This window comes from Homo sapiens, chromosome 19 (genome assembly GCF_000001405.40).
Source record: "Homo sapiens chromosome 19, GRCh38.p14 Primary Assembly".
Taxonomy (NCBI): Eukaryota; Metazoa; Chordata; class Mammalia; order Primates; family Hominidae; genus Homo; species Homo sapiens.
Window position 1 is genome coordinate 663,899 of NC_000019.10, and position 20,471 is coordinate 684,369.

Consider the following 20,471-nt stretch of genomic DNA (forward strand, 5'->3'; position numbering starts at 1 on the left):
GACGGCCCAGGCGCCTCTCGGGTGCGGAGAAGGCAGGAAACCTAACCCCTGCTTCCAAATTTAATCAGTAGAAACGGTATCATCACCCAGCACAGGCCAGGATCATTTCTGAGGTTAGTTCTGGCCCAATCATGCATGCATTTCTTTTTTCTTTTTTTTTTTGAGACGGAGTCTCACTCTGTCACCCAGGCTGGGGTGCAATGGCCCGATCTCGGCTCACTGCAACCTCCGCCTGCCGAGGGTTCAAGCGATTCTCCCGCCTCAGCCTCTCGAGTAGCTAGGACTAGAGGCACCCGCCACCACACCGGCTAATTTTTGTATTTTTAGTAGAAACGGGGTTTCACTATATTTGGCCAGGCTGGTCTTGAACTCCTGACCTCGTGATCCGCCCGCCTCGGCCTCCCAAAGTGCTGGGATTACAGGCATGAGCCACCGCGCCCGGCCTCATGCGTGTATTTCTTTCTTCACTCAACACTCATTGAGCAACTACTGCACACCAGACCCTATGCTGAATGCACGCAGATACCCCCAGTCCCATGAGATTGGACAGGAGCGTGGAACTCAAGGGTGACTCTGGCTCTGCCTGGGGAAAGAGAGAGAGGGCTTCCGAGGGGTAAGGACATTGGAACCAGGGCTGAGGGATGAATAGGATTTGGTTGGAGTTGGACTTCCTGCAAAATGAGGCATTGGAGCGAGACTGTTGAGGAATTAAGAGTTGGAGCCTGTGCATTTAGATTTTTTGTTTGTTTGTTTGTTTTTTAGAGATGGAGTCTGGCTCTGTTGCCCAGGCTGCAGTGCAATGGCGCAATCTCGGTTCACTGTAACCTCCGCCTCCCGGGTTCAAGTGATTCTCCTGCCTCAGGCTCCCGAGTTGCTGGGATTACAGGCTGGGCACCACCACGCCCGCCTAATTTTTGTATTTTTAGTAGACGGGGTTTCACTATGTTGGCCAGGCTGGTCTCAAACTCCTGACCTCAGGTGATCCGCCCGCCTCGGCCTGCCATAGTGCTGGGATTACAGGCGTAAGCCACCGCGCCCGGCCTGCATTTAGGGTTTTGAATGTCCAGAGGTTGGGGACAGGGGCTTCAGCCTCCTTCCAGTCGTCTTTGCAGCAGCGCGAATCCAGTCATTCCTGCTCTGACCACCAGAGAGCGCACGGGCCCCGTCCCTGGGAATCCAGGAAAACCCCAGGCTGGGGAGGGGCGAGGCTTGCCAGACGCAGCCCCTGCACCAGCCTTCACGCTCCGCAAGTGCAGGAGGAGCAGCAGGCCTGGTTCAAACGACGCCAAACCACGAACTGGCTGTGTGTCCCTAGGCAAGTGGCCTAACCTCTGAGAAGGCGGCAGAACCTGACGGTTTTCCGTTGGCTCGGAGCAGACATGAGGACCGCTGGCACCTCCTCAGCCCTCTCTGTGCTCTGCTGCCTGCCCCGAGTCACCTGCCCCTCGCTGACCCCTCCCCAGCCTCACTGGCCCCCTTGGGTGGGCTAAGCAGGTTCCCACCTCTGGGCCTTGCAAGGCTGTGCCCTTCCCCAAGTCCCCTCTCCTTCCCCTGCTTTTTTTTTTTTTTTTTTTTTTTTTTGAGATGGAGTCTCACTCTGTTGCCCAGGCTGGAGTGCAATGGTGCGATCTCAGCTCACTGCAACCTCCGCCTCCAGGGGTCAAGCGATTCTCCTGCCTCAGCCTCCCGAGTAGCTGGGATCACAGGCATGCGCCACCACGCCCGGCTAATTTTTGTATTTTTAGTAGAGCTGGGGTTTCGCCATGTTGGCCAGGCTGGTCTCGAACTCCTGACCTCAGGTGATCCGCCCACCTCGGCGTCCCAAAGTGCTGGGATGACAGGCGTGAGCCACCGCGCCCGGCCCTTTCCCCTGGTTTTTAGGAGGCTGCCCCATCCACCACTGCACCCCACTTCTCAGAGCCCCCTTTCCATCCCCCACAGCCATCCTCACATCTGTGGGTTATTAATGGCGTCTCCCCATATGTGAGGCCAATACCCAGCGCACCAGTAGGTGTTCAGTAGATTCCCAAATGCACCAACAGTTGCCGAGTGTCTACTGTGTGCTGGGCTCAAGCAGGTGCTGGAAACACAGTGGGAATGAGAAGGAACGTAGGGATTTTGTATCAAACTAAGCAGGGCGAGGTGGCTCACGCCTGAGACCAGGAGTTCAAAACCATCCTGAGCAACATAGTGAGACCCTGTCTCTACAAAAATAGAATTAGGCCGGGGACAGTGGCTCATGCCTGTAATCCCAGCACCTTGAGAGGCTGAGGCAGGAGGATCACTTGAGTCCAGGAGTTGAAGACCAGCCTGGGCTACATGGTGAAACCGTGTCTCTACTAAAAATACAAAAATTAGCCAGGTGTGGTGGCGGGCACCTGTGATCCCACCTACTCAGGAGGCTGAGACAGAAGGATCACTTGAGCAGGAGGCAGAGGTTGCAGTGAGCTGAGATCGGACCACTGCACTCCAGCCTGGGCCACAGATGGAGACCCCATCTTTTTTGTTTTGTTTTGTTTTGTTTTGTTTTGTTTGAGATGGGTCTCCCTCTGCCGCCCAGGCTGGAGTGCAGTGGCATGATCTGGGCTCACTGCAAATTCTGCCTCCTAGGATCAAGCGATTATCCTGGCTCAGCCTCCCAAGTAGCTGGGATTACAGGCATGTGCCACCACGCCCGGCTAATTTTTGTCCTTCTAGTAGAGACGGAGTTTCTCCATGTTAAGTAGGCTGGTCTCCAACTCCTGACCTCAGGTGATCCGCCCACCTCAGCCTCCCAAAGTGCTGGGATCACAGGCGTGAGGCTAATCGTTTTAAATTTTTATTTTGTAGAGATAGGATCTGGCTATGTTGCCCAGAGTGATCTCCAACTCCTGGGCTCACGGGATCCTCCCACCTTGGCCTCCCAAAGTGTGGGGATCACAGGTGTGAGCCAGAGTGCCCGGCCACCCCTTTATCCCAAACACACCAAAAAGCAGGCTGCTCTTCCCTGAAGGCAGTAGCACATTGATCAAATCGGCCAGTGGGCACTGACACTGCTGCACACAAATGCACACACTTGCACCCTGCCCCAGGCCCCACCGGCCACCCTGGTTCCACAGACGGCACCGTTTCTCCCATTTCCTCTCACCAGGGACCTCGACAGGTGTGGGCTTGGTTCCGTGAGCTCTCTTAGCCCCTTTTTCAATTCAGGATCCCGTCCCCGTGAACCCTGGGGGCCTCGGCAAACATGAGACGAGAGGACTCCTAAAGGAATGACACGCGCCACTCCCTCCGGGGCAGAGAGGTGTGTTGACAGCTCATTCTCACGTCCCAGGCAGACCAAGCCCAGGTGGACCACGTCCCAGGCAGACCAAGCCCAGGTGGACCACGTCCCAGGCAGACCAAGCCCAGGCGGACCACGTCCCAGGCGGACCACGTCCCAGGCGGACCACGTCCCAGGCGGACCAAGCCCAGGCGGACCACGTCCCAGGCGGACCACGTCCCAGGCGGACCAAGCCCAGGTGGACCACGTCCCAGGCGGACCACGTCCCAGGCGGACCAAGCCCAGGTGGACCACGTCCCAGGCGGACCATGTCCCAGGCAGACCACGTCCCAGGCAGACCAAGCCCAGGCGGACCACGTCCCAGGCAGACCACGTCCCAGGCGGACCAAGCCCAGGTGGACCACGTCCCAGGCAGACCAAGCCCAGGCAGACCACGTCCCAGGTAGACCTAGTGGTTGTGTATTCACTTCTCCCAACCCCCCTGGGAAGAAATAACTGCAGCTGGCCCCATTGCACCAATGAGGAAACTGAGGCCCAGGGAGGAAGCCGATTGCCTGAGGCGGCAGCTTTGGGACTGGACTGTGGCTGCCTCCTGAGGAAGGAAACAGTTCCTCCCTCCACCCTCATCCTGGCAGGGGTTGGGCCACCGTTGCTTCATCAAGTGTCGTGGAGCCTCCGCTCTGTGCCAGGAGCGGGGCCTGTGCCACAAACGTCTGCTGAAACCAGCCATCCACCCAACAGTATCGAGCACCATGATCGGAAGAGTAAAGGCCCCAAACTGGGCCAGGGGCGGTGGCTCATTCCCGTAATCCCAGCACTTTGGAAGGCTGAGGCGGGTGGATCATTTGAGGTCAGGAGTTCGAGGCTAGTCTGGCCAAAATGGTGAAACCCATCTCTACTAACAAAAAAAAAAAAAAAAAAAAAAAAATGGCCGGGTGCAGTGGCTCATGCCTGTAATCCCAGCACTTTGGAAGGCCGAGGTGGGTGGATCATCTGAAGTTGGGACTTCGAGACCAGCCTGACCAACATGGAGAAACCCTGTCTCTACTAAAAATACAAAGTTAACCAGGCATGGTAGCAGGCATCTGTAATCCCAGCTACTCGGGAGGCTGAGGCAGGGGAATCGCTTGAATCTGGGAGGCAGAAGTTGCAGTGAGCCAAGATCTTGCCATTTCACTCCTGCCTAGGCAACAAGAGCAAAACTCCATCTTGTTAAAAAAAAAAAACTAGCCGGGCATGGTGGTGCCTGCCTGTAATCCCAGGTACTCGGGAGGCTGAGGCATGAAAATCACTTGAACCCGGGAGCAGAGGTTGCAGTAAGCTGAGATTGCACCACTCCACTCCAGCCTGAGAGACAGAGTGAGTGAGAGACTTCACCTCAAAATAAATAAATAAAGTCCCCAAACACACTTGATTTTAGCCCAGCAAGACTCATGTCTGTTGCGGGAAGTCAGGGACCCCGAACGGAGGGACCGCCTGGAGCTGTGGCAGAGGAACATAAATTGTGAAGATTTCATTTTAATATGGACATTTATCAGTTCCCAAATTAATACTTTTATAATTTCTTACGCCTGTCTTACTCTCATCTCTTAATCCTGTTATCTTCGTAAGCTGAGGATGTATGTCACCTCAGGACCACCGTGATAATTGTGTTAACTGTACAAATTGATTGTAAAACGTGTGTTTGAACAATATGAAATCAGTGCACCTTGAGAAAAAACAGAATAACAGCGATTTTAGGGAACAAGGGAAGACAACCATAAGGTCTGACTGCCTGCAGGGTCAGGCAAAAAAAGCCATATTTTTCTTCTTGCAGAGAGCCTATAAAAGGACATGCAAGTAGGGAGGATATCGCTAAATTCTTTTCCTAGCAAGCAATATTAATATTAATACCCTGGGAAAGGAATGCATTCCTGGGGAGAGGTCTATAAACAGCTGCTCTGGGAATGTCTGTCTTACGTGGTTGAGATAAGGACTGAGATACGCCCTGATCTCCTGCAGTACCCTCAGGCTTACTACGGTGGGGAAAAACTCCACCCTGGTGAATTTGTGGTCAGACGTTTCCCTATTTTTTGTTCAAGATGTTTATCAAGATAATACGTGCACCGCTGAACATGGACCCTTATCAGTAGTTCTGTGTTGCCTTTTCTCCTGTTCCCTCAGAAGCAAGTGATCTTTGTTCTGTTTTTTGCCCTTTGAAGCATGAGCTCTACTCCATGTTCTCACACCCCCTCCCCTCTTGAAACCCTTAATAAAAAACTTGCTGGTTTAAGGCTCAGGGGGCAGCACGATCCTACCGACATGCGACGTCACCCCCCGGCGGCCCAGCTGTAAAATTCCTCTCTTTGTACTCTTCCTCTTTATTTCTCAGCCAGCCGACACTTATGGAAAATAGAAAGAATTTATATTGAAATATGGGGGGAATGGGTCCCCCCGATACATGTCAGATTTCTTTTATTTATTTATTTATTTATTTATTTATTTATTTATTGAGATGGAGTCTCACTCTGTCGCCCAGGCTGGAGTGCAGTGGTGCCATCTCGGCTCACTGCAAGCTCCGCCTCCCGGGTTCACGCCATTCTCCTGCCTCAGCCTCCCGAGTAGCTGGGACTACAGGCGCCCGCCACCATGCCCGGCTAATTTTTTGCATTTTTAGTAGAGACGGGGTTTCACCGTGTTAGCCAGGATGGTCACGATCTCCTGACCTCGTGATCCACCCGCCTCCACCTCCCGAAGTGCTGGGATTACAGGCGTGAGCCACCTCACCTGGCCTTATTTATTTATTTTTTTTGAGACGGGGGTCTCGCTCTGTTGTCCAGGCTGGAGTGCAGTGGTGCGAACTCGGCTCACCAAAACCTCTGCCCTCCAGGTTCGAGCAATTCTCCTGCCTGAGCCTCCTGAGTGGCTGGGACTACAGGCACCCGGCACCACACCCAGCTAATTTTTGTATTTTTAATAGAGATGGGGTTTCACCATGTTGGCCAGACTGGTCTCAAACTCCTGACCTTAAGTGATCTGCCTACCTCAGCCTCCCAAAGTGCAGGAATTACAGGCGTGAGCCACTGCGCCCAGCTGTTTTGTTTTTTGAGATGAAGTCTCACTGTCACCCAGGCTGGAGTGCAGTGGCGCGATCTTGGCTCACTGCAGCCTCCGCTTCCTGGGTTCAAGTGATTCTCCTGCTTCAGCTTCCCGAGTAGCTGGGATTACAGGAGTGTGCCACCTCGCCCGGCTAATTTTTTTTGTATTTTTAGTAGAGACGGGGTTTCACCATGTTGGCCAGGCTGGTCTCAAACTCCTGACCTCAAATGATCTGCCCGCCGCAGCCTCCCAAAGTGCTGGGATTACAGATGTGAGCCGTGGCACTTGGCCAGTGGGGTTGCTTTAGGGCCCAGCTCACACCGCACCCGGCTGATGGGGTTGTTTTAGGGCCCAGCTCACTTCCCAGTGTTCCCACACCGCCCACCAGGCCAGGCCTTCAGGCCTGAGCCATGTTATCAGCATCACAGGCTCCGGAGTCCAGCAAGTCTTTGCCTCCTGGAGCCCAGGGGTTGGCAAGTTCTAGCTCAGAGGCTGCAGACAATAGACAGTAAGCCAATGCCAAGTATCTTTGGGCTCAGGAAGGTGGGACCGGGTGTCCCTGACTGTTCTGTACCAAGCCACAACCCGCTTCCCATCCTGGAGGCCGAAGGTGGTACCGCAGGGTGAGCTCCCTAGAGCCCCACAGAACACGCTGCTCTGGGTCCTAAAGGCTCTCCTTGCATGAATGCAAACCTGCTGACTACAAAGATGGTTATTATTATCAGCTCCAAGGTACAGAAACTCGGTTTAAACTGGCTTCATCTCCCTGCGGAGGAGGAGTTCAGGCACAGCTGGATCCAGGGACCTCCAATGTCACTGGGAATTGTTGCTGTCCCCTTTGGCTCTGTGGCCCACGGGGCTGGCCTCTCCCTAGCCATCAGAAAGAGCCACCTGCAATTTCAGGCTCACACCTCTCCAGCCCCAGCAGGAAGCAGGTGTCCCTGTCCCTCTCCCAGCAAAATTCCAGGGCCGTTGGCCAGGCGTGGTGGCTCACACCTGTAATCCCCGCACTTTGGGAGGCCGAGGCCGGCGGATCATGAGGTCAGGAGTTCGAGACCAGCCTGGCCAATATGGTGAAACCCTGTCTCTACTAAAAATACAAAAATTAGCCAGGCGTGGTGGTGGGCGCCTATAGTCCCAGCTGCTCGGGAGGCTGAGGCAGGAGAATCGCTTGAACCTGGGAGGCAGAGGTTGCAGTGAGCTGAGATCACGCCACTGCACTCCAGCCTGGGCAACAGAGCAAGACTCCATCTTAAAAAAAAAAAAAAATTCCAGGACTGACTCGTCCTGGTGGTTTTGTGTTTTTTTTGAGACAGAGTCTCACTCTGTCACCCGGGCTGGAGTGCAGTAGTGGGAGCAGAAAGGGGGAACCAGCCCCAGGCTGGCCCTCGTCGTGTGGTCCATGGGAGGCACAGGGGTCCTGGAAGCTTCTGAACCTGGTGCTGACCCTAGTCCTGACTCTGCAGGTCTGTGTGACTCCAAGAAAATCACTTCCCACCCTCCAACCTCATCCCTATAAATGGGGCGCCTGCCTCACAGCCTCCCAGCAAGCAGCAAAGGGGACTCACCATGGTCCCGTTCTGCACGAGCACCCATTGACTGGGTAATTAACAGGAATCTATGCACGCCATGGCCCTACTGTGCGCCTGGCACTGTCCACATCCCACCTGGAACCTCTAACACTGGGGTCTGTGCCCATGTTACAGATAAGAAAACAGGCATAGGCTGGGCACGGTGGTTCACGCCTGTAATCCCAGCAATTTGGGAGGCCAAGGCAGCTGGATCGCCAGAGGTCAGGAGTTCGAGACCAGCCTGGCCAACATGGTGAAACCCATCTCTACTAAAAATACAAAAAATTAGCTGGGTCTGCTGGTGCATGCCTGTAATTCCAGCTACTCAGGAGGCTGAGGCAAGAGAATTGCTTAAACCCGGGAGGCAGAGGTTGCAGTGAGCCGAGATTGCGCCACTGCACTCCAGCCTTGGCAACAAGAGCGAAACTCTGTCTCAAAAAAAAAAAAAAAGAAAGAAAAAGAAAACAGGCCTAGAAGGGTCCCAGGGCCTGGCACACAGTGGGCACCCACGGCTGCTATAACAAATTTGCACAAACTGCCTGGCTTAAAGCAACACACGGGCTGGGCGCAGTGTCTCATGCCTGTAATCCCAGCACTTTGTGAGGCCAAGATGGGCAGATCACCTGAGGTCAGGAGTTTGAGACCAGCCTGACCAACATGGCAAAATCCCGTCACTGCAAAAAAAAAAAAAAAAAGTAGCCGGGTGTGGTGGGAGGCGCCTGTAATCCCACTTAGTCTGGAGGCTGAGGTTGCAGTGAGCCGAGATCGCACCTCTGCACTCCAGCCTGGACAACAGAGTGAGGCCCTGTCTCAAAAAAATAAAAATGGCCAGGCATGGTGGCTCACACCTGTAACCCCAGCACTTTGGGAGGCCAAGGCGGGTGAATCACTGAGGTCAGGAGTTCAAGACCAGCCTGGCCAACATGGCGAAACCGCGTCTCTACTAAGAATACAAAAATTAGCCAGTTGTGGTGGCAGGTGCCTACAATCCCAGCTACTCGTGAGGCTGACGCAGAAGGATTGCTTGAACCCGGGGGCGGAGGTTGCAGTGAGCCGAGATCGCGCCATTGCACTCCAGCCTAAGCAACAGAACGAGACTACGTCTCAAAAAAAAAAAAAAAAAAGTTCCACACGGGTCTGGCTGGGAGAAGATCGAGGTGTTGGCAGAGCTGCATTCCTTCTGGCAGCTCCAGGAGAGAATCTGTTCCGCGCCTTTCCAGGCTCCTAGAGGCCGCCCACATTCCCTGGCTTGAGCCCCCTTCCTCCATCTCCAAATCCCGCAATGGCAGCCAAGTCCTTCTCTTATCCTGTCTCTAACCATAGAGGGCAGGCGTCTCCTTTTTTTTTTTTTTTTTTTTGAGACAGAGTCTCGCTCTGTCACCCAGGCTGCAGTGCAGTGGCACGATCTCGGGTCACTTCAACCTCTGCCTCCCAGGTTCAAGTGATTCTCCTGCCTCAGCCTCCCAAGTAGCTGGGATTACAGGTGCACAATACCAGGCCCACCTAATTTTTTTGTATTTTTAGTAGAGACGGGGTTTTACCATGTTGGCCAGGCTAGTCTCGAACTCCTGACTTCAAGTGATCCTCCTGCCTCGGCCTCCCAAAGTGCTGGGATTACAGGCGCACACCACCAGGCCCACCTAATTTTTTTGTATTTTTAGTAGAGACAGGGTTTTACCATGTTGGCCAGGCTAGTCTCGAACTCCTGACCTCAAGTGATCTGCCTGCCTCGGCCTCCTAATGTGTTGGAGGTTCACAGGTGTGAACCTAATGTGTTGGTGGTTCACAGGTGTGAACCACCGCGCCCGGCCAGGCATCTCCTCTTCTACGGACCCTTCCAGGACAGTGGGCCATCCGTATAACCCAGGATGAACCCCTGTGTGAAAGCCCTCAACTCAGTCCCATCTGCAGAGCCCCTTTGGCCAGGGAGGGTGGGACACCCACGGGTTCTAGGGATGAGGGCCCCATGGTCTCTGGGACCGCCGTTCTGCTGACCACCCCCCACTGCTCTCCCCCTCACTCACAGCACAAGCGTCTGTTTCCAGCGCACACCCCTGCCGCTCCGTCTGACGTTCGAGTCTCAACCTCAACGTCTCTTTCCTCTGGGAAGCCTTCCTCAGTCTCCCCCAGGCCCGGGTCAGGCCTGGGGCACCTTTGCCATCTGGGCATCCTCCGCCACAGAACAACACTGGATTGTCACTGTCTGTTTACCTGTCAGGATGTACCTGGAGGGAGACAGAAGCCTGGGGGGTGAGCAGAGGCCACGAGGAGCCACGGTGGGTGTCTGAGCCAGGGAGAAGTGTTATGGCAGCTGGGGTAGGAAGTGGGCCGCAGGGGCCAGGCTGCGGGCTGGAAGTCCTAGGATGAGCCTCGGGCCTGGATAGGGTGGGGAGAGGGGCAGAGCCGGGAGAGGGGAGGTCATCACTGGGGTCTCAGGAGGAGGCGGCGCTCTGGAAAGGGTCAGTGACCTGTTAGAGGTCACCCTGCACAGAGCCTCTGGGTTAGGGAAGACAGAGCCGGGAGCAGGAGGCCACTGGCAGCTGGCCTCGGTTTCCCCGGAGAGGGCCGGAACCCACGCCAGCCAGACAATGACCCTTTGATTCGCACAGCCCAGGCCGGAGTGGCCAAGCCACGGCGGGGTCAGGTCTTGGCCAAGGTCACACTGTCCAGCCCCCGCACATCCTCAGTGAGAACACAGGGTCCCATCCCTGCCCCACTCCCCAATCCCGGGAGAGTCCCGGGGGAATGCCAGAGGCCAAGGCCAGGTCGAGACGGCGGGGTGTCCCCCGTCAGTGAGAACACAGGGTCCTGTGCCTGCCCCACTCCCCAAGCCGGGGAGATTCCCGGGGGAAATGCCAGAGGCCAAGGCCAGGTCGAGACGGCGGGGTGTCCCCCCTCAGTGAGAACACAGGGTCCCGTCCCTGCCCTGCTCCCCAAGCCGGGGAGATTCCCGGGGGAAATGCCAGAGGCCAAGGCCAGGTCGAGACGGCGGGGTGTCCCCCCTCAGTGAGAATACAGGGTCCCGTCCCTGCCCTGCTCCCCAAGCCGGGGAGATTCCCGGGGGAAATGCCAGAGGCCAAGGCCAGGTCAAGACGGCGGGGTGTCCCCCCTCAGTGCCACTAAGGCAGAACTTGGCCCCTGGCCACTGGCTGCTGGGGGACACAGGCTGGGCAGCTAAGGTGGAGGAAAGGGTACAGGTGTGTCTTCTGTGGGCACAGATCTCACTCAGGCCAGAGAAGGGGCTGTGCCGTGGGGCTGCTGGACACGTCCGTTTCCACCTGCGGGGTGGGCAATGCCGGCACAGCGAGTGGCCAGACACAGGCATGCCCAGCAGACACCCAACCGCTCTCCACCACCTCAACCTTCTGTATTTTCCTGAAAGCATTTACCACTCCTTGAAGTTATAGATTAATTTGTCTCTGCATTTTGTTGTCCAAACCAGGAGCTCGGTGAGGGTGTGATGGGGTCTGCCTTGGTCACCGTGGCACCCCAGCACCCCGCAGGGTCCCTCTGGCCAAAAGAGATGTTCACTGATGCCCTAGAAGCAGGAACAGAGGGGCTCCCCTGCGCTCGCCAAGGGCGCCTGACAAATCTGGAGGCCCCCATGACAGAATCAGCTCCAGAGTAGGAAATGTGTCTGGCTGCACGAAAGCCCCCTCGGGCGCAGCGCCTCCAGGCCCACGCAGATGTCGCTGTCATACATTGTTGGAAACGCCTCTGCTGGAAACAGTGTTTGCTGAATCTTGGAGGGAGAGGAAAAAACCTAGTAAACATTCTTGTTGAGGTGATCTGGGGGAATGTCTGCAAAGGCTTGGAGGGCTGATGGGGCAGAGCTGCCCAGGGGCCCAGGACAAAGGCCAGGCGTGCGCGCGCACACACACACACACACACACACACACACGCAGTGGCCTCCCTGGGGGCCGTGGCTGGGCGAGGCCTGCTGTTGTCCGAGATGCTGGAAGGAGCTGTGTCTCTGGGTCTGTCCCGGCCGCACCCCGTTCTGTCCCACACCCAACCACTCCCCACCCACAGGCCGGCTCCAGCGGCCAGGTGGACGGGTGCGCGGCCCGCGCTGTGAGCAGGGAACCATATCCAGCTGAGGTTTTGGGTGTGTGGGGCGGGTCGGGAACAAGGAGGCCGGGTTGGGGGGCTCAGACCACACTTGGACCATGAAAGTGACCACATGCAAATCACAGAAACGGGATGCAGGGATCCACAGACGTGCTCCTCTTGGGTCCCCGTTACCTCACCGCCACCCCTGAAACTGAAGACCCCCAAACCCACTTTAATTCCTGGAGACGGCCCCTCGATCCACCCAAAAGGCTGCCACCACCTCGAACCCACACCCCTGTCCCGGTTCCGCCCTGGGTCCAGCCACATCTCCCCAAATGCATTCTCTGGCTCCGGAAGGGGACCCGGGCGCTCGCCCCCAACTGCCCCCCGCAGCGGCCGGGCCCGGCGCCTGCCCACCCCGCGCGGGACACGGCCTCGCCCCCGCCACTCCCGCGCCGCGCCCCGCCCCGCGCCCCGCCCCGCCCGCGGCCCGCGGGACCTTTATAGGGAGCGCCGGCCGCGCGCTGGGAAGTCGGTGCCGCTGCCGTCTCTGCGTTCGCCATGCGTCCCGGGGCGCCAGGGCCACTCTGGCCTCTGCCCTGGGGGGCCCTGGCTTGGGCCGTGGGCTTCGTGAGCTCCATGGGCTCGGGGAACCCCGCGCCCGGTGAGTGGGGCGGCCAGAGGGGCGGGCGGGGCGGGCCACCCACGTGGGGCTGCGCGGAATGCGGCCGGGGGGACGTCGGGGGGCGCGGCGGCGGCGGCGGGGGCGAGGGCGGTGTCCGGCGCAAGCTGGAGCCGGGAAGGTCTGAAGGAGGGTCACCAAGAGGTCAGCAGAGCAGAGGTTTCTAATCACAATGACCGCTGACATTTATTGAGCGCTTAGTGTCTACCTCTCCCCTCCCTGAACCTGTGCCATCCCGATAGTGCCGGAGCTCTCTTCATCTCCGTCTTCCAGATGGGGAAACTGAGGCTCAGGGTCACACAGCCTGTAGCAGGCAAAGCCAGGGTTCTAGCCGCGACCGTCCGGGTCGGTCCTGGTGCCGAGAGGTAGTGCTGGGTGTCGGGAGCCAGGCCCTCCAGCTGGGGCTGAGAGCTTTCCCGGGTCCTGGGTAGACGGGGCATGGAGTCTCACACCTGGGACTTGCCGGGAGGTGCCAGGCAGGAGACGGCCCCACTCCTGGCCTCAGTTTCCCCTCCTATGATGGGTGCCAAGGTGCTGCGTTCCACAAGCTGGTCCCTGGCAGTGTCTGTGAACCAGCAAGCGCTCTGGGATGGGGGCTGTGGCCGTTCCTGCCCCCAGGGACGGGGGAAGAAATGGGGGGCTCTCTGGCTCCCCACCCCCCATCCCTGCAGCCCCACCCCACCCCAGCCCTGCGCCAAAGGGAGAGCAGAGCCCCCTCCCCGAAGGCCACGTCCCTGGGGAGACAGTGAGCTCATGCAAGGGGAATGTTCCCAAGTTGGAGTGAGTAAGAGGCGGGCCAGGCGGTGGGGGGGCTGCCAGGCGCGGGGCTCCGCGTGCCCTCGCCCTCGGGTGCTGTCTAGACAGAGGGCAGAGGCGGGAGAAGCGGCTCCAGGGCCTGCTGACCCTGACATGCCCAGTGCCTGGTGTTTGGTGGTGTTTGAGGGGTTGGGCAGGGTGCCAGCCCCTGGCCTGGGGGCTTGGAGGGTACGGGAAGGGACCTCCTGGGGTGGGTGGGGGTTGGTGGTGAGGCTGTGGGGGGGGGCACGTGGAGCTCAGAGGGGAGGAGACATTTCCAGGGTTCTGGAGCCAGGGTGGGGACACCCATGTGGTTTTCTGCCCCTTCTTCCTGGGTGGGGGTAGATCATTCCGTGCGTAACTACTCAGCACCACCTGCATGCATCTGTGGGCGGGCCAGAAGCTGGGTGTCAGGAGTGGCCCAGGAGAGCACCCCGTTCCCCGGCCCGCAGGTGGTGTTTGCTGGCTCCAGCAGGGCCAGGAGGCCACCTGCAGCCTGGTGCTCCAGACTGATGTCACCCGGGCCGAGTGCTGTGCCTCCGGCAACATTGACACCGCCTGGTCCAACCTCACCCACCCGGGGAACAAGATCAACCTCCTCGGCTTCTTGGGCCTTGTCCACTGCCTTCCCTGCAAAGGTGAGACCTCAGGCCAGAAGCAGGGCAGACGTCTCAGCTCAGGACCAGCCACAAACAGTCATGGTGGTCGAGGGCCGAACGTCCAGGGACTGAGCCCGTCACAGGGGTATGTAGGAGGCTGCAGGGGGATCCCAGCCTCAGAGAGGGACTGGGGGGACTTCCCGGTTCCCAGGCTCCAGCCTCTTGCAGCTCAGGACTCAGGAAGAGACCACGTGGCTCCAGCCTTTGCTGGGGCTGAGCTCTCTGCCTGGGTGGCTCTTCCCACCTGGTCGATAAATGTCTGGCTTGCACCTAGCTCCTGGGAAGGTGGGTTTGCCATTCTGGCCTGTGACCCCAAATGTCCACACCAGGGACCTTCACTGCAGACTCCAGGGTCTGCGGTGGGGTTACAGCTGCATGTTTAACAAGCATTTGCCTCGGGACCCTGTTTTGAGAGGATGCCTCCCACATCAGACTAGGGGCTCTTGGTTGGCGAGTGGCACAGAACGAATGAATAAGATTCTCCGCACTGGAGGATGATGGTTTTTTTTTTTTTTTTTTTTTTTTTTCCTGAGATGGAGCCTCGCTCTGTCACCCAGGCTGGAGTGCAGTGGTGCGATTTTGGCTCACTGCAACTTCGGCCTCCGAGGTTCAGGTGATTCTCTTTCCTCGGCCTCCCCAGGGGCTGGGACTGCAGGCGCGCGCCACCACACCTGGCTAATTTTTATGTTTTTGGTAGAGACAGGGTTTCACCACATTGGCCAGGCTGGTCTCAAACTCCTGACCTCAAGTGATCTGCCAGCCTTGGCCTCCCAAAGTGCTGGGATTACAGGCGTGAGCCACCATGCCTGGCCTGTTGGGGCACATCTTGAAGGAGGTGGGCATTAGAGCTGGGGTGTTGGGGGATGTCTAGGAGTTTGCCAGATGGGGCCGGTATGGGAGAGTGGATCAGGAGAGAACATGGCTTGAGGTTAGGTCCTGGTGGGTGGGGTCAGGCAGAGGAGCCAAGGGGAGGCTGAAGCTGAGGGCTGCAGACCCGAAGGCCAGGCTGAGGAACTCTGCTGGCCTCTGAGATGTGATTAATCCCAGATCAGCCTGGCTGGGTGGTCCTGAACTCACTGCCACATACCCCTGCTCCCTCCAGACCCCCCTCTGGCTTCTGGGAGAAGGACAGTCTTCAAAAAGTGCCTGGCCTGGGCATGAGACGGCCCAGGACCCCCCACCCCCAACCTCATCTGGCCCTGGGGACGGAACTCAGGCCCCCTTCCGTTCTCGCTCGCATAAAAGCCACCCTGGCCGAGCATTTCCAGATGTGCCTGTGAGCCGCTGTGCCGGGGCCGCCCAGGTGCGGCCCACATGCCCTGCAAGGGCTGCGTGGCGGGCGCTGGCCATCCCCTAAGGAGTGCCGCACTGCCTTGGAAGTGGGGCTCCCTCGTCAGCCCCACTTTACACACAGAGAAACTGAGGCTGGCACATAAACTCAACAGCTGTGTTCAGAGGCCCTACCAGACCCCCAGATAACAGAAAGGGGGTTGGTCATCTGGGTCCTGGCTGCAGCTTTCAAACTGAGGTGCTTGGGCCCCTGCACTCATAGCTGCGACCCGGCCTCAGTTTCCCCATCTGTAAAATGATGACTTGGGAAGATGCGATAAGCCTAGGAGGCGATGAGCATTCACATTGAAAGCGGGGGCGGGGACCCCAGAGAGAGCTTCCCTAGCAGGACCTCAATATCCCTGTCTGAGCAGCGGGGCTGCGGGGCAGCTCCTGGTTCAGAGGCCTAGGGCTGTGGGGGGCCCCCTCCCCTGGAATCGCTCCCCAGGCCAGGAGGGCCGTCCAGCGCCCCGCCCTCCCCGACGCCTCCTGGGGGAAGGTCCTGGCAGCCCCAGACTCGCGCCTGGCAAGGGCGGAACACCCCAGGCTGACGCAGCTGGGGCCCCTCCGGCCTTCCCAGAAGAGCGCGTGCATCGGGAGCAGACGTCAGCCAGCTGCAAGGAGGAGCGGCCCGGGGCTGCGTAGCTCCGCTGGACCCCGATTCCGGGCAGAGACCCCCCCCCGCCCCGGCCCGCGCGCACCGAGCCCAGCCCCCGCCCCCCAGCGCAGGCGCAGCGCGGACCTCGGCCCCACCGGTCCCGCGCCCGGACCCTGAGCCCTGCCCCTGGGAACCCGAGGGCCCCGACTCCGACTGACCCTGACCTGGGACGGCGCCCCCGCCTCCGCCCTGCAGAAGGGGCGCAGGGAGGGGCCCCGAGGCCTTCGCGCGGCCCCACGCCCGGGACCCTCCCGCGCCCGGCCCCACGCGCGTGTCCTCTGTCCGCAGATTCGTGCGACGGCGTGGAGTGCGGCCCGGGCAAGGCGTGCCGCATGCTGGGGGGCCGCCCGCGCTGCGAGTGCGCGCCCGACTGCTCGGGGCTCCCGGCGCGGCTGCAGGTCTGCGGCTCAGACGGCGCCACCTACCGCGACGAGTGCGAGCTGCGCGCCGCGCGCTGCCGCGGCCACCCGGACCTGAGCGTCATGTACCGGGGCCGCTGCCGCAGTACGTGGGGGCGTGGTCTGTGGAGGGGCGGGGCGGGACCTACCGGACCTGCGCGTCATGTATCGAGGCTGCTGCCGCAGTAGGCGGGGGCGGGGCCTGGGGCGGGACCACCCGGACCTGAGCGTGACGTATCGGGGCTGCTACCGCAATGCGTGAGGGCCAGGCCTGCGGGGGCGGGGCCTGCTGGAGGGGCGGGGCCTGCTGGAGGGGCGGGGCCGCTGCCGCAGTGCGTAGGGGCGGGGCCTCCAGCCCAGGACAGGTCACATGGGTGGCGGTGGGGCCTGAGTAAGGGCGTCTTTATACTTCCGAGGGAGTATCACGGGGTAGGGTCTTTTGTAGGGTTGGGATTTGGAAAATAGTGGGCCTCTGGGGGCTCACACTGGGCAAGAGGTATGTGGCATGGTCAGAGCGGGAGCGTGACTCAGAGAGGGGCTTGTGGGTGTAACCAGAGGGGCATGATGGAACCAGGGGGGTGAGACTGGGTCATGTAAGGGGCGGGGCTCTTGGCTGGGGCGTGGTTCCTGGGTGGAGATGGGCGGGGATTTGTGGGTGGAGTTTGGGTGGGCGGCCCCGCAGTCGCGGAGGGGCGGGGCTTTGGGTAGCATAAGGGGCAGGAGCTCACGAAAGAGGTGTGGCTCCTGGGTACAATGGGAAGGGCAGGGCTTGTGGGTGGAGCCTGAGGGGTGGAATGGAGAGGGGGGCTCACGGGGGGCGGGGGGGTGCTTGTGTCTCCTACCAGAGGGTTTTCGCATCTTGGGGGTTAAGGGTGGGTCTTGGGGCCAAGAGCCCTGCGGGGTTCTCAGCGAGATGTCCCCTGAACTTCCCCTGGCACCCGGCCTGCAGAGTCCTGTGAGCACGTGGTGTGCCCGCGGCCACAGTCGTGCGTCGTGGACCAGACGGGCAGCGCCCACTGCGTGGTGTGTCGAGCGGCGCCCTGCCCTGTGCCCTCCAGCCCCGGCCAGGAGCTTTGCGGCAACAACAACGTCACCTACATCTCCTCGTGCCACATGCGCCAGGCCACCTGCTTCCTGGGCCGCTCCATCGGCGTGCGCCACGCGGGCAGCTGCGCAGGTGCAGACGCAGGGCGGGGGCACAGGCCTGTCCTGGGGGCCGGAGAACCCCCTGCCCTGCGCCCTCAATGCTCTTATCGACCCTTGCAGGCACCCCTGAGGAGCCGCCAGGTGGTGAGTCTGCAGAAGAGGAAGAGAACTTCGTGTGAGCCTGCAGGACAGGCCTGGGCCTGGTGCCCGAGGCCCCCCATCATCCCCTGTTATTTATTGCCACAGCAGAGTCTAATTTATATGCCACGGACACTCCTTAGAGCCCGGATTCGGACCACTTGGGGATCCCAGAACCTCCCTGACGATATCCTGGAAGGACTGAGGAAGGGAGGCCTGGGGGCCGGCTGGTGGGTGGGATAGACCTGCGTTCCGGACACTGAGCGCCTGATTTAGGGCCCTTCTCTAGGATGCCCCAGCCCCTACCCTAAGACCTATTGCCGGGGAGGATTCCACACTTCCGCTCCTTTGGGGATAAACCTATTAATTATTGCTACTATCAAGAGGGCTGGGCATTCTCTGCTGGTAATTCCTGAAGAGGCATGACTGCTTTTCTCAGCCCCAAGCCTCTAGTCTGGGTGTGTACGGAGGGTCTAGCCTGGGTGTGTACGGAGGGTCTAGCCTGGGTGAGTACGGAGGGTCTAGCCTGGGTGAGTACGGAGGGTCTAGCCTGGGTGAGTACGGAGGGTCTAGCCTGGGTGTGTATGGAGGATCTAGCCTGGGTGAGTATGGAGGGTCTAGCCTGGGTGAGTATGGAGGGTCTAGCCTGGGTGTGTATGGAGGGTCTAGCCTGGGTGAGTATGGAGGGTCTAGCCTGGGTGTGTATGGAGGGTCTAGCCTGGGTGAGTATGGAGGGTCTAGCCTGGGTGTGTACGGAGGGTCTAGTCTGAGTGCGTGTGGGGACCTCAGAACACTGTGACCTTAGCCCAGCAAGCCAGGCCCTTCATGAAGGCCAAGAAGGCTGCCACCATTCCCTGCCAGCCCAAGAACTCCAGCTTCCCCACTGCCTCTGTGTGCCCCTTTGCGTCCTGTGAAGGCCATTGAGAAATGCCCAGTGTGCCCCCTGGGAAAGGGCACGGCCTGTGCTCCTGACACGGGCTGTGCTTGGCCACAGAACCACCCAGCGTCTCCCCTGCTGCTGTCCACGTCAGTTCATGAGGCAACGTCGCGTGGTCTCAGACGTGGAGCAGCCAGCGGCAGCTCAGAGCAGGGCACTGTGTCCGGCGGAGCCAAGTCCACTCTGGGGGAGCTCTGGCGGGGACCACGGGCCACTGCTCACCCACTGGCCCCGAGGGGGGTGTAGACGCCAAGACTCACGCATGTGTGACATCCGGAGTCCTGGAGCCGGGTGTCCCAGTGGCACCACTAGGTGCCTGCTGCCTCCACAGTGGGGTTCACACCCAGGGCTCCTTGGTCCCCCACAACCTGCCCCGGCCAGGCCTGCAGACCCAGACTCCAGCCAGACCTGCCTCACCCACCAATGCAGCCGGGGCTGGCGACACCAGCCAGGTGCTGGTCTTGGGCCAGTTCTCCCACGACGGCTCACCCTCCCCTCCATCTGCGTTGATGCTCAGAATCGCCTACCTGTGCCTGCGTGTAAACCACAGCCTCAGACCAGCTATGGGGAGAGGACAACACGGAGGATATCCAGCTTCCCCGGTCTGGGGTGAGGAATGTGGGGAGCTTGGGCATCCTCCTCCAGCCTCCTCCAGCCCCCAGGCAGTGCCTTACCTGTGGTGCCCAGAAAAGTGCCCCTAGGTTGGTGGGTCTACAGGAGCCTCAGCCAGGCAGCCCACCCCACCCTGGGGCCCTGCCTCACCAAGGAAATAAAGACTCAAGCCATTTTGGGGTGTCCAGGCCTCAGTTTGTCTCCTCTCTCAAGGCTTCAGGCCGCCCCCACGGCTGTGGGATGGGCAGCCTGGGGCCTGGGGTGCCGCATGGGTGCTCTGGAGGCACGGGAAGAGAGACCCAGCATTAGTCCTTGGGCAGCCTCTGGCCGCCTCTGGGCCTCAGTGCCTCTCCAGGCAGTGGACAAGCCCGGGAGGGGCTGAGGCAGAGCGGGAGGGGAGGGAGAGAAAGGAGGTCTTTTGGGAGGGCACACAGGATAGACAAGATGGCTTAGGGCAGCCCTAAGACACCAGCTGGCTTGGGACCCAGAAATGGAGGCCCGGTCTTGAATGACTTGGGTGTAACGATAGCAGTAATAAAAATAACAGGATTAGGGCCCGGGTGGGGTAGCTCACCCCTATAATCTCGGCGCTTTGGGAGGCCAAGGCGGGCGGGTCACTTGAGGCCAGGAGTTCCAGACCAGCCTGGGCAACATAGTGAGACCCTCATCTCTACAAAAAAAAAAAAAAAAAAAAAAAAGACCCAGGCATGGTGGCATGCTCCTGTGGTCCCAGCTACTCAGGAGGCGGAGGTGGGAAGATGGCTTGAGCCCAGGATGTCAAGGCTGCAGTGAGCTGTGTTGGCACCACTGCACTCCAGCCTGGGTGACAGAGTGAGACTGTTTCTAAAATAATAATAATAGCATAATTGGCCGGGCGTGGTGGTTCATGCCTGTAATCCCAGCACTTTGGGAGGCCGAGGCAGGTGAATCATGAGGTCAGGAGTTCGAGACCGACCTGGCCAACATGGTGAAACTCCAATCTCGGTGAGCCGAGATCGTGCCACTAAACTCCAGCCTGGGGGACAGAGCAAGACCCCATCTCAAAAAAAAAAAAAAAAAAATTAGCCAGGTGTGGTGTCATGCACCTGTAGTCCCAGCTACTTGGGAGGGTGAGGCAGGAGAATCGCTTGAACCTGGGAGGCAGAGGTTGCAG

General features: G+C 59.3%; 1 protein-coding gene across 1 annotated transcript, besides 6 other annotated features; it reads left to right on the top strand.

The window, feature by feature from the left end:
• FSTL3 (follistatin like 3) lies at positions 12,494-19,487 on the top strand. Its single transcript, NM_005860.3, has 5 exons — positions 12,494-12,628; positions 13,894-14,079; positions 16,376-16,591; positions 17,435-17,662; positions 17,752-19,487. Exons 1-5 carry the CDS (start codon positions 12,526-12,528, stop codon positions 17,808-17,810), a joined length of 792 nt encoding a protein of 263 aa, NP_005851.1. The 5' UTR covers positions 12,494-12,525; the 3' UTR covers positions 17,811-19,487.
• Positions 14,848-15,350: an enhancer, noted in NCBI's record as "H3K27ac-H3K4me1 hESC enhancer chr19:678746-679248 (GRCh37/hg19 assembly coordinates)". NCBI's record gives its function as "activates a minimal SCP1, AML or CMV promoter by ChIP-STARR-seq in primed H9 embryonic stem cells {active_cell/tissue: H9 hESC(primed)}" and the evidence as "EXISTENCE:reporter gene assay evidence [ECO:0000049][PMID:30033119]".
• Positions 15,805-16,114: a silencer, noted in NCBI's record as "silent region_9616". NCBI's record gives its function as "represses an Ori minimal core promoter by ATAC-STARR-seq in GM12878 lymphoblastoid cells {active_cell/tissue: GM12878}" and the evidence as "EXISTENCE:reporter gene assay evidence [ECO:0000049][PMID:35858748]".
• Positions 16,145-16,924: a silencer, noted in NCBI's record as "silent region_9617". NCBI's record gives its function as "represses an Ori minimal core promoter by ATAC-STARR-seq in GM12878 lymphoblastoid cells {active_cell/tissue: GM12878}" and the evidence as "EXISTENCE:reporter gene assay evidence [ECO:0000049][PMID:35858748]".
• Positions 17,035-17,584: an enhancer, noted in NCBI's record as "H3K27ac-H3K4me1 hESC enhancer chr19:680933-681482 (GRCh37/hg19 assembly coordinates)". NCBI's record gives its function as "activates a minimal SCP1, AML or CMV promoter by ChIP-STARR-seq in naive H9 embryonic stem cells {active_cell/tissue: H9 hESC(naive)}" and the evidence as "EXISTENCE:reporter gene assay evidence [ECO:0000049][PMID:30033119]".
• Positions 17,115-17,214: a silencer, noted in NCBI's record as "silent region_9618". NCBI's record gives its function as "represses an Ori minimal core promoter by ATAC-STARR-seq in GM12878 lymphoblastoid cells {active_cell/tissue: GM12878}" and the evidence as "EXISTENCE:reporter gene assay evidence [ECO:0000049][PMID:35858748]".
• Positions 17,585-18,133: an enhancer, noted in NCBI's record as "H3K27ac-H3K4me1 hESC enhancer chr19:681483-682031 (GRCh37/hg19 assembly coordinates)". NCBI's record gives its function as "activates a minimal SCP1, AML or CMV promoter by ChIP-STARR-seq in naive H9 embryonic stem cells {active_cell/tissue: H9 hESC(naive)}" and the evidence as "EXISTENCE:reporter gene assay evidence [ECO:0000049][PMID:30033119]".

Excerpts from the sequence above, each read along its gene's own strand:
- FSTL3 (NM_005860.3), top strand. The coding sequence starts at position 12,526 with ATGCGTCCCGGGGCGCCAGGGCCACTCTGGCCTCTGCCCTGGGGGGCC. Across the intron at positions 12,629-13,893 it reads CTCGGGGAACCCCGCGCCCG|GTGGTGTTTGCTGGCTCCAG; the intron begins GTGAGTGGGGCG and ends CCCGGCCCGCAG. Across the intron at positions 16,592-17,434 it reads GTACCGGGGCCGCTGCCGCA|AGTCCTGTGAGCACGTGGTG; the intron begins GTACGTGGGGGC and ends CCCGGCCTGCAG.